The sequence below is a fragment of the Homo sapiens genome, chromosome 17 (assembly GCF_000001405.40).
Source record: "Homo sapiens chromosome 17, GRCh38.p14 Primary Assembly".
Lineage (NCBI taxonomy): Eukaryota > Metazoa > Chordata > Mammalia > Primates > Hominidae > Homo > Homo sapiens.
The window spans coordinates 42,001,678-42,014,033 of record NC_000017.11 but is presented as its reverse complement, the minus strand read 5'-3'; the positions used below and the strand labels follow the sequence as shown (position 1 = coordinate 42,014,033).

The 12,356-nt window shown below is 44.4% G+C and overlaps 1 protein-coding gene across 8 annotated transcripts in view, besides 1 other annotated feature; it reads left to right on the top strand.

The window, feature by feature from the left end:
• DNAJC7 (DnaJ heat shock protein family (Hsp40) member C7) overlaps window positions 1–12,356 on the top strand; it is a 41,005-nt gene that overhangs the window by 3,406 nt on the left and 25,243 nt on the right. For 2 of the 8 annotated variants that reach the window (XM_011525167.4, XM_017024994.3), the window contains exon 2: window positions 10,477–10,675. The exons of the other annotated variants lie outside the window; for them this stretch is intronic. The gene's annotated coding sequence lies outside the window, so the exon portion shown is untranslated. The remainder of the gene's footprint in view (window positions 1–10,476; window positions 10,676–12,356) is intronic. 8 annotated transcript variants of the gene reach the window in all.
• Window positions 2,564–3,093: an enhancer, noted in NCBI's record as "OCT4-NANOG hESC enhancer chr17:40162959-40163488 (GRCh37/hg19 assembly coordinates)". NCBI's record gives its function as "activates a minimal SCP1, AML or CMV promoter by ChIP-STARR-seq in naive H9 embryonic stem cells {active_cell/tissue: H9 hESC(naive)}" and the evidence as "EXISTENCE:reporter gene assay evidence [ECO:0000049][PMID:30033119]".

Below are 12,356 nucleotides of genomic sequence, written 5' to 3'. Positions count from 1 at the left end.
TGAGGTCGGGAGTTTGAGACCAGCCTGACCAACATGGAGAAACCCCATCTCTACTAAAAATAGAAAAAAAAAATTAGCCAGGCATGGCGGTGCATGCCTGTAGCCCCACCGACTTGGAGGCTGAGGCAGGAGAATCACTTGAATCCGGTAGGCGGAGGTTGCGGTGAGCCGAGATCGTGCCATTGCACTCCAACCTGGGCGACAAGAGTGAAACTCTGTCTCAAAAAAAAGAATAAACATTAGGCTCTGTTAGTATGAAAAAGCCTTGTTTATGTATGATTTTTCCAGTGCTGAAAATGGGATGGAGATTTAGAAGCTTTGGAGGGAGGTGGTTTTATGTTTTTCATGTGTCCTGGATTCCTCTTGTGTGGCCATAGCAGAGGGCAGTGATAGGGGCATCCCTTACAAATGCCCTTTTACTGTCTGGCTTGGTTAGAGTTCTTTGGCCAAGTTCCTGCCTCTGTTGTTATGGTCCTCCTACCAGTTCATTTAGGGATCAAGAGTTAATGAGTCTCTCGGGTCGTTTTTGTGAGGTCCAGCTTTGTAAGGAGTCCTTCCTTCCTTACGTCTTGGCTTAAGACATGTCCTGCTGCTGCTAAGTTGTCACAGTCCCATAGGGGGGCAAAATGAGAGGAGCTTTTAAGACGGACTTCACGATTGCAGCATTTTAAATGGCTACATGTTTTATTTCCTTAGCTTTAGTGTTTCTGTAGAGAAAAGAGATGGATTTCAATTTTTTTGCATGTCACTCTGACAAAGTTCTGTTTCCCTTACAGCAGCCAAGAAACTAAAATAAGGCTAGGCTTAGTGGCTCATGCCTGTAATCTTAGCACTTTGTGAGGCCAAAATGAGAGGATCGCTTAAGCCCAGTAGTTTGAGACCAGCCTGGGCAACATAGTGAGACTTAGTCTCTATAAAAACATTTAAGGCTGGGTGCGGTGGCTCACGCCTGTAATTCCAGCACCTTGGGAGGCTGAGGCCAGTGGATTGCTTGAGGCCAGGAGTTCGAGACCAACCTGGGCAACGTGGTGAAACCCGCCCCCCATCTCTGTAAAAAAAAAATACAAAAATTAGCAGGGTGTGATGGTGCATACCTGTAGGCCCTGCTACTTGGGACGCTGAGGTGTAAGTATCACCTGAGCTGGGGGAGGTCGAGGCTGCAGTGAGCTGCGATCACACCACTGCACTGCATCCTGGGTGACAGAGTGAAACCCTGTCTCAAAAAAAAGGGTTGGGGCTAAAATAAAAGATATATTAGTTGGCACTCCAAAACAGATCAGGATTCTATGCATGAAGATTATTTCTCTTTGCTCACCAAAACAGGCAAAGCTATTTATGAGCCAGAGGGTTAAACTTCAGATGTTTCACATTTCAACTAACTTAAGGCTTTATATTTTCCTGGGAAGTTGCTGACTGCTTTACCTAATATGGGAATACCTGTCTTGAATTAAGGATCTCTTGTTATATCTCCTGGGCTGGGAAACAGCTTGATCTCTATAGGGAGTCTTTCTTATGGTAAACTTGAGGGATTTCAAATTGTTTTCTTTTCTTTTTGACGGAGTCTCGCTCTGTCACCAGGCTGGAGTGCAGTGGTGTGATCTCAGCTCACTGCAAACTCCGCCTCCTGGGTTCAAATGATTCTCCTGCCTCAGCCTCCCGAGTAGCTGGGACTATAGGCGTGTGCCACCACACCCAGCTAATTTTTGTATTTTTAATAGAGACGGAGTTTTACCATGTTGGCCAGGATGGTCTCGATCTCTTAACCTCATGATCCGCCCGCCTTGTCCTCCCAAAGTGCTGGGATTACAGGCGTGGGCCACTACACCCAACCTCAAATTGTTTTTCAAAGAGAAAACACTTACGTGTCTCAGCATATACCTAGTGTGACTGGACAACAAGATCTAAAAGAATCAAGGGATCCATAGACTTAAGAGTCAGGACATCCTTACCTGATTCCTTGAGCTGATAAACTTAACTTCTCTGTATGTTTTCCTGATGGGCACAAATAAGAGCAATTCTTATTAGGCCCTTACTACCTAGGTATTGTACACTCTTTGCGATTAGGATTTTGCCTTTTATTTCTCTATTCAGATTGTTAATGGGAACAACTGAACTCTCAATTCATGTCCCGGGTTTCCTGTAGTTGCTGTTCGTTTGCTGCAGCTTTGCATGGTGTTTTTGAGTTTGTGGCCTCACTTAACTGAAGAGCTTGTGGGCATGCCTCCCCAGCTTTCTTCCTTACCTGGTTTTAAATTCTTAGGAATGTGTCCTTCTAATCTTCCTCTTGAAGTTTCAGAGCAAGCACCTAGACATTTCAGTAAGCCTCCAAACTGAGTGGGAATTTATCTTTGACCTGGAACCCAAATCAGTGAGAAACACTATTTTCCTTTTGCTGTGCACTAAGTGTAGTCAGATGTGAAGAAATGGGAGATGGGAGGAGAAATAAGTTAAGGAAGGGATAAACCTAGGAATACAGAATTCTCAATACCGGCAAATTAATTGAACCCTGATACTAACAGATGGCAAAGTAGATAATCATAACTGGAGCAAAGGTAGAGTACAGAGAAAGGTTCTCTCTTAGTGCTTTAGTTCAGATCCACATGTTAACTAGTGCCAGAGAAACAAGAATTTTGAGAAAATATAGGGCCAAGTGAGTGGCAGTTGCTTAGAGTCCAGTCCACTCCCAACAAACAGAACTCTGATTGGCCGAAAGCCCAGCCTTATTGTACATTCCAGCCAATCAGGGATTAGTTTAGTCATTGAAGTTTGTATTTTAATGGTTTTGAAAAGCTGAGTACTGGGCACTTGCTTTTTTGTTCTTCGGGACTTTAGAAGTTTGGAGAACAATAGTCAGCAGTTGCCTAGTTGCTTTGTGGCCTGATGCAGAGTCCCTCTGAGAGCCCATTTCTCCCTTACTGCACTAGTCTTTGGTCCCCTTTCTCCAGCACTGAGTGATGTGGAAGTTACTCAGAGGTCTTTCCAGGTATTCTTTTAAACTTTTGAAGTAAGAACAAAATTCAAAGTGCAGTTATCCTAACAGGCTATTCATTTTATTGGAGTGACACTGTTTTTCCTTCTCCCATTCGGATCAAAATGGCAATTCCTATGTTTTACCCTCACCATGGGTAAGAATATGAGTGGTTGAGGCTTTTGAGAATGGTAATAGGAGGAATATATGACTCTCAGGTCTTATTCTGAGACGTGAAATTCTATTGGCATGTGACTTACAATTTGTGTGGGGAGGCCAGATTGTCAGATAAGCAGTGTTAACCATCTCTCTTGATTCTAATATTACTTTTGGAGAGAGTGTGAGGGGCAAGCAGGACCCTCTCTTGTTTTTGGAGTTTCTGTCCTGAGAGTTCTTCCTTGGACAGTTTGCCCTGAGACAGTTAACCACCTGTTGAACTAAGGAACCAAGACAACTTTGAGAAGTGAAATACCGTTGACAATCCAGGCTCCTCCCCACTCTAGTTCCCATCTCCACCCCACCCCACTCCACCCAAAAAAACTCAGGAAGCAGCCTTTATATATATATATTTTTGAGACAGAGTTTCATTCTTGTTGCCCAGGCTGGAGTGCAATGGCGCAATCTTGGCTCACTGCAGCCTCCGCCTCCCGGGTTCAAGCAATTCTCCTGAGTCAGCTTCCTGAGTAGCTGGAATTACAGGCATGCGCCACCACGCCCGGCTAATTTTGTATTTTTTTTTTTTTTTGTAGAGACAGGGTTTCTCCATGTTGGTCAGTCTGGTCTCGAACTCCCGACCTCAGGTGATCCACCCGCCTTGGCCTCCCAAAGTGCTGGGATTATAGGCGTGAGCCACTGCACCCGGCCTAGGAAGTAGCCTCTTTCTTTCTCTCTTTCTGTCTGTCTCTTTCTTTCTTTCTTTCTTTGTGATGGAGTCTTGCTGTGTCTCCAGGCTGGAGTGTGCAATGGCACGATCTCGGCTCACTGCAATCTCCGCTTCCTGGGTTCAAGCTATCCTCCTGCCTCAGCCTCCTGAGTAGCTGGGACTACAGTTGCATGCCACCATGCCCAGCTAATTTTTTATATTTTTAGTAGAGACGGGTTTCACCATGTTGGCCAGGATGGTCTTGATCTCATCACCTCAGGATCTGCCCGCCTCGGCCTCCCAAGTGCTGGGATTACAGGCGTGAGCCACTGCGCCAGGGCAAAGCAGCCTTTTCCTTAATTGTAGTTCCTCAGTTTTAAATTTTTGATGGGTGCTGGTGTCCCTATAGTGGGAGATGTCACAGAATAGGGAACCGAGGGATGGAAAATGGTGGGTTTGGGGATATGTTATGAAAACAAGCCTCTGGCTAATGCTGAAAAGCCAGTGACTTGTATCCTCAGAATGGTTTCAGAGAAGCATGTTTCCCAGAAGTAGCTTCATTGTTGGGTCTCCTCTCCCCAGGGATAAGTGAAGGTTAGGTAGATGTAATAGATTGTGACACCTCTCATTTAAGGACCTAAAATAAATTTCCAACTCACCGTTGAGACAAGTATTTCCAAGTGAATATGTTTCTGCCTGCAGTGATGGGATTTCTGTAGGGATTGAATTGGTTGCTTGCTTTTTCTTCCTTACTGAATAAGGCATAGCCAGCTGCATAGCCAGGCACAGCTTGCTGGCTGGTGTCCGTCCCTGCCTGAACAGTAGGGAGTGCTGCTGCTTTGTGTAGACAGTCTGTGACTCCTCTGGTGCATTTTGGGTCCCTTCTGACTCTGCCCGTGTTGAGGCTTCTCCTTGAATGTCCACCCAGAGGACAATTTGAACTGGTATGTTAAGGAATTTTCTTCATCTTCTGCCTTCTCTTTATTAGCGGAGATGTGTGGAGGGTTGTTCCATTTGTGCTTTAAAGTGAAAACTATCTATTCTGTAGGAAATTGGGTAAAGAAAGCTGAGTAGCAGATAGCTTTGCTAAAAGGTAGCAGTTGGATAGCGCTCACCTTCTATTTTTTTCTGGATGAAGCACCGAGCATAAATACCTTGCCATATTTATAGAATTATTCCAAGTCATATATCTATGGCCCGGCGTGATGGCTCACGCCTTTAATCCCAACACTTTGGAAGGCAGAGATTGGCGGATCACTTGAGGTCAGAAGTTTGAAGACCAGCCTGGCCAACATGGCAAGACCTCATCTCTACTAAAATAAACAAAGATTAGCCAGGCATGGTAGTGGGGCCCTGTAATCTCAGCTACTCAGGAGGCTGAGGCAGGAGAATCACTTGAACCTGGGAGGCAGAGGTTGCTGTGAACTGAGATCACACCACTGCACTCCAGCCTGGGCAACAAGAGTGAGAGTCTGTCTCAAAAAATATATGTCTGACCCGGCGCGGTGGCTCACGCCTGTAATCCCAGCACTTTGGGAGGCCGAGGCGGGCGGATCATGAGGTCAGGAGATTGAGACCATCCTGGCTAACACGGTGAAACCCCGTCTCTACTAAAAATACAAAAAAATTAGCTGGGCGTGGTGGCAGGCGCCTGTAGTCACAGCTACTTGGGAGGCTGAGGCAGGAGAATGGCGTGAACCTAGGAGGCGGAGCTTGCAATGAGCCGAGATGGCGCCACTGCACTCCAACCTGGGTGACAGAGCGAGACTCCGTCTCAAAAAAAAAAATCTATATCTATATATATATATCTATACCTGTGACTTCCACTTATCTATGTGAAACTTATATTGACATTTCACTTGTAGAATAGTAGATTTTTTTTTTTTTCTTTTTTGAGACGGAGTCTCACTCTTGCCCAGGCTGGAGTGCAATGGCACAGTCTCGGCTCACTGCAACCTCCGCCTCCTGGGTTCAAATAATTCTCCCGCCTCAGCCTCCCGAATAGGTGGGATTACAGGCACCCTCCATCATGCCCGGCTAATTTTTGTATTTTTGTAGAGATGGGGTTTCACCATGTTGCCTAGGCTGGTCTTGAACTTCTGACCTCAGGTGATCCACCCTCCTTGGCCTCCCAAAGTGCTGGGATTATAGACATGAGCCACCTTGCCCAGCCTAGATTTTTTTTTAAAAAAGAAACTTCTTACCGGGCACATGCCTGTAATCCCAGCTACTTGGGAGGCTGAGACAGGAGAATCAGTTGAACCTGGGAGGCGGAGGTTGCGGTGAGCTGAGATCACGCCATTGCACTCCAGCCTGGGCAACAAGAGCGAAATTCTGTCTCAAAAAAAAAAAAAAAAAAAAAAAAGGCAGTTTTTTCTGGCCAATTGTGGTGGCTCATCATGTGTGTAATCTTAGCACTTTGGGAGGCTGAGGAGGTGGATTGCCTGAGCTCAAGAGTTTGAGACCAGCCTGGGCAACATAGTGAAACCCCATCTCTACTAAAATACAAAAATTTAGCTGGGCATGGTGGTGCGTGCCTGTAGTCCCAGCTACCAGGGAGGCTGAGGCACAAGAATCGCTTGAACCTGGGAGGTGAAGATTGCAGTGAGCCGAGATCTCACCACTGCACTCTGGCCTGGGCAATAGAATGAGACTGTCTCCAAAAAAAAAGAAATTTTTTTCTTAAAGAAGAATCTAAATGATATGCTTTTGGTAAGATGGAATAGAAGTTAGGCTCCTGGGCTCCTTTTACTTTATTTTGTCATGAAGGTCAGGGAGAGTGCAACATGAAACAGGCCCTGTGACATGCCATTGGGGACAAGAGGTCTCGGACTGTGGGAAGGAGGAAAGAATTTCTACTCTGACTGGCCAAGATCCCGTGAATTCTGAAGGGTGGAGGGCATTTCTAGATCAACAGGCAACTAGTAAGTTTGACTGAATAAAATAAATGGAGCACAACAATCATAGAGTAAGGCGACATTTGGGGAGTAGTAAATATAAGAGGAATGCATAAGGGATATTGACTCATTGGCAGTATAAAGTATTATTATTAATAGCCTAAAGGAAAAGAAAAGTATCTTTTTCTTTTTCTTTTTTTTTTTTGAGACAGGATCTTGCTCTGTTGCCCAGGCTGGAGTGCAGTGGCGCGATGTCAGCTCACCGCAAGCTCCATCTCCCGGGTTCACACCATTCTCCTGCCTCAGCCTACTGAGTAGCTGGGACTACAGGCGCCTGCCACCTTGCCTGGCTAATCCTTTTTTGTACTTTTAGTAGAGATGGGGTTTCACCGTGTTAGCCAGGATGGTCTTGATCTCCTGACCTTGTGATCTGCCTGCCCAGCCTCCCAAAGTGCTGGGATTATAGGCGTGAGCCACCGTGCCTGGACTTTTTTTTTTTTTTTTTTTTTTGAGACGGAGTCTTGCTCTGTTGCCCAGGCTGGAGTGCAGTGGTGTAACCTTGGCTCATCACAACCACCGTCTCCTGGGTTCAAGGGATTCTCCTGCATCAGCGTCCCGGGTAGCTGGGATTACAGGTGCATGCCACCACGCCCGGCTAATTTTTGTATTTTTAGTAGAGATGGGGTTTCACCATATTGATGAGGCTGGTCTCGAACTCCTGACTTCATGATCTGCCTGCCTTGGCCTCCCAAAGTGCTGGGATTACAGGCGTGAGCCACCGTGCCCAGCCTGGTTTTGTTTTTTTTAAAGGCAGGGTCTCACTCTGTCACCCAGGCTGCAGGAACATGGTTTGCTGCAGCCTCGACCTCCTGGGCTCAGGAGGTCTTCTGCCTCAGCCTCCTGGGATTATAGGCGTGAGCCTATAATTTCCCAAAAATTAAATAAATAAATAAATAAATAAAGCTCTTTTCTCAAAAAAAAAAAAATTGGCCAGGCGTGGTGGCGTGTGCCTGTAATCCCAGCTACTCAGGAGGCTGAGGTGGGAGAATTGCTTGAACCCAGGACGTGGGGGTTGCAATGAGCCGAGATTGCGCCACTGCACTCCAGCCTAGGTAACAGAGGTGACAGAGGTCAGGAGATTGAGACCATCCTGGCTAACACGATGATATCCCGTCTCTATTAAAAATACAAAAAAATCAGCCAGGCGTGGTTGTGGGCACCTGTAGTCCCAGCTACTTGGGAGGCTGAGGCAGGAGAATGGCATGAACCTGGGAGGCAGAGCTTGCAGTGAGCTGAGATCACGCCACTGCACTCTAGCCTGGGTGACAGTCAGACTGTGTCTCAAAAAATAAAAAAAATTAAATAAATAAATAAATAAAGCTCTTTTCTCAAAAAAAAATTGGCCAGGCATGGTGGCGTGTGCCTGTAATCCCAGCTACTAGGGAGGCTGAGGTGGGAGAATTGCTTGAACCCAGGAGGTGGGGATTGCAGTGAGCCAAGATTGCGCCACTGCACTCCAGCCTGGGTGACAGAGCCAGACTTCGTCTCAAAAAAAAAGAAAAAACAAAATCAAACCACAGTGCGGTGTGCTTTTTGTCATATAAAATTTGGATCCACATTTCCTAGGTTACAAGTGTTGCAGAATAATGAAACCATGCTAGTCTGTTTTTCATGCAGTGAGGTGGAATAAATTTTAAAATGATGAAGAATCTCATCCCTGTTTTAATAATCTGCAAATACGTGATATGTCAAGCAATTCCAGAGAGAACCCAGCCATGTTAATGACATTTTAAAAACTACCACACAATTAATTCTGCATTAGTGTAGGCTGACTAAAGTTTCTGATTGATGCTTTAATTGCTAAAAGTTAGACTAGTTGACCCAACGCAGAGATCTTAAGTGTTCAACTTGGAAGTATTTAGAGAGAAAATGGAAATTTTTATAGGGCATCTAATTTGGGGCATGTTGCAATGTCAACTATGATGTTTTAATGTGTTTTTAATTTAGTTGAGCTGTAAATGTGCAAAGTTGGCTAGCAACCATAAGCCCAAGTTGTCTGATTTAATCACATGATGCTGAGCCCTGCTAAGACCTGTGTGATACCAAATGATTCCCTTAGCAGTGTTTGTTGGAGTAATTAGTGTCAGCAATGAATGAATGCTGAATTGAGAGAGATAATGTAACTACATGTCTAAAGGATATACAGATTTTAACGAACATTTATTGTAGAAGAGCAAGTTTTCAAAGCTGCAGTTTTCTTACTGGTGGGTGGTTTTGTTTTTTTGAGACAGTCTTGCTCTGTCATTCAGGCTAGAGTGCAGTGGTACAATCACAGCTCGTTACAGCCTCAACCTCCCAGGCTCAAGTGATCCTCCCATCTTAGCCTCCCAAGTAGTTGGGACTACAGACTTGCACCACCATGCCCAGCTAATTTTTAAATTTTTGTAGAGACAGAGTCTCCCTGTGTTTTCCAGGCTGTTCTCAAACTAACTCCTGCACTCAAGCAGTCTTCTTGTCTCTGTCTCCTAAAGTGCTGGGATTACAGGCGTGAGACATTGCGCCCAGCAAGGTTATTTCTGAAAAACAAAGAAATACATTTTAAAATAGCAAAGGAGACCATGAATGGGATGTCTTCTCTGAAGGCCAGGGCTTCCAGTGTGCTGATCCTGTTGTGAGAGATCCTCCATGCATCCAGAGAGGACAGATTTTTTTGGAAAACCTTTCAGTAGCTGTTTTCATGCAACTTTATTACTGTCAGTTAAAATGAAAAGACTGGATTGGTGGAGGTGGAGTCATTCCCAGCATCTCTTGGTGAATCAGAGCTGTGAAGCTATTCTGCTTAGAAGTTGACCCAAGGATTTGGTGGGAGAACTGGATAAATTAGTTTTAATCTAAAAGCCTTGACACTAACAGGATGTGGGGGAAAACATAAACTTCTAGGACTTAGGAGACCTGTGCAGCCATCTTGGTTGCCTCACTAGCTCTTCCTCTGTTGGAGGATAGGTGAAATTATTGCCATAACCACCTCAGAAGGCCATTTGAAAATCTTGGCCAGGCGTGGTGGCTGACGCCTTTAATCCTACTAGCACTTTGAGAGGTCTAGGCAGGCGGATCATTTGCAGTCAGGAGTTTGAGACCAGTCTGGCCAACATGATGAAACCCCGTCTCTACTAAAAATACAAAAAATAGCTGGGCATGGTGGCACATGCCTGTAATCCCAGCTACTCGGGAGGCTAAGGCGAGAGAACACTTGAACCCAGGAGGCAGAGGCTGCAGTGAACCGAGTTCATGCCACTGCCCTCCAGCCTGGGCAAAAGAGTTAGACTCCATCTAAAAAAAAAAAAAAAAAAAAAAAATTGAAAATCTTCATTGGAAATGCTTCGAAAATCTGAAATAACACTAGAAATATATTGTAGTTGTTAATAGTACCATCAGGTCAGTTATGGCCAAGTCTATATTTTGCTGTGGTATTATATTTAAGAGTTTAATCTGAATTTAATTTTGTAGCCACAGAAAATAATCTGTAGTTTAATTTAGTGCATTGGGAATCCTTTTTTTTTTTAATTGGTCTAGGTGAAGCCAATTAATCCTAAGTCTTCTTTTCTCAGTACTGGTGTGTTTCAGTAGGTGCATGTTACAACCTCACTTGGCTATCAGATGAATTGACCCTGGCAGTGAGTGAGTGACAGATGCCACCACCAGATTGCCTTCAATTCCAGTGTTAACCAGCTCTTCTCCTTTTTTTCCAGTCCCACGCCTTTGACATCTCATCCTTCAGTCCCTTTGCTGTAAAGGCAACTTGAACAAGCTTCAGCCCTTTCTCAGACTTCCAGGGCAGGACTTGAATGGATTTGACACTGGAATTGTTCCTGATGCAGCCTTGTTCAGTTCTTGCTGCTGCCATGCTGGATTCCAAAGATCCACTCTTTCCTCGACTGGTCTCGCAGGGTCAGGCCCACTGGTTAAAGCTTGTTGTGTATTTGGTGGGGAGGTTCAAAATGAAGGAGGGACTCCAGTCCACTTTGGGCATTGGACCTGAAGGCAAAAAATAAGCGTTCAGTCTAAAAGCACTAAGTGCCCATTGTTTAGGCAGCTGTTAATCAGCCACGTTTCTATGAAAATAAGTCCTTTTCATGAGGCAGTTGTGTGGGAATAGCTAATTCTGGCCTGATGCTGTGCAGTGTGAGGTTAAAAACATGGCAACTTGTCACAACACAATTCTTCTTGTTCTTTTTGCTGTGGGCTGACTCTACATTACTTGCTTTGTTTGCTCTAGAATGGAATCTACTCACCATTTACTAAAATGAAATGCATTTCTTTGGGGAGGCAAAGTCCAGTTCACTAGGTCTTGCATCTTAAAGAGAAAGGAGCCCTGCTTCCTCTATGACTAATTGTTAGGAATGTCATTTAGCTTATTTAAATACCGATTTTGGTTCTGGGGTTGAATATTACATGTGGGGTGTACTGTGTGTCTTAGTTTAAACAAATTTATATGTATTGTCCATGTCTTACATATATTGTCCATGTCTTACTCCTCGTAGTACAGACTAATTTTCAAAATAGTTAGCAGTAAGCGGAGGCAAGCATTAGAGAGAAAGCTTGGCATAGTAGAAAGTGCACAAGCTTTGTATTCTGACAAACATGGGTAACATCCTGACCTCAGGCAAGTTATTTAACCCCCAGGCCTTATTTCCTCTTTTGAAAAATGGGAATAATGAAGTTCACCGGACTGTGTTTTATAGAGGATACTGTATGGAAAGTACCTGGCCTCAGTAGTTATTAGTAACTGTCCACCAAAATCATCCTTTGCATTTTTTCTAGAAGCCAGTCCTGAACTCCCCGACCTCCATAGGGGTAGTGTCTTAGGAAGGAGGAGACTAGGGGCACCTTTCAGCAGCCCTGTACATTATTTCACTTTCGACTAACAAGCTTTATACTGCTGACACAGTGTCTCCCCAGGTACCTAGATGTCTTCGTTTTCCTCAAAGATTTGTATATTCTTAGCCACTAGCCAACTGAAGAAGAGGCTAGATCTTCTCTGATGGAGTTTGGGCCTAATGTCTTACTTTGGAATTTGCTACTCCATTTCTTCACAGCAGTTTGACTAATCGAAATCCAGTTTTGGGGAAGTCCTTTGTTCAAATCCCTTGGCATGTCTGCTCTTAAAGGATAGGCTCCTGAGAGTTTTTATAAGCACTTTGCTTAATTTAGAGTTACAGGATGGTGAATACCATGTAGCAAGATTTCAGTTGGTTCTTTAAATCTTGCAATTGGGGGATCTTTCTTGAAGATTTTTCATAGCAGAAGGCCTCTTTTCAGCATTGTGATAGTTGGTATAGACAGTTACTCAAGCAGATTTATATCCATCACATTTCACAGCTGTCAGCATTTATAGGTCATTCCCATTTGCCTTCTCCTTCTAGCAGCCTTTTCATATTAGTAGGGCTTGCCAGGACAGTGATGGAGAAGAATGGAGAGGGAGGATCACCTCAATAAAAGGAGGGCGACTTTACCAGTTTGTAGTTTAAAATACTTAAGTAAATCACAAATCTCCCTAATGCAGATATCCGTAGACTCAAGCTGTAAATTGCTGTACCATCACCAAGGTTTAAGAACTAGGACTTTTGCC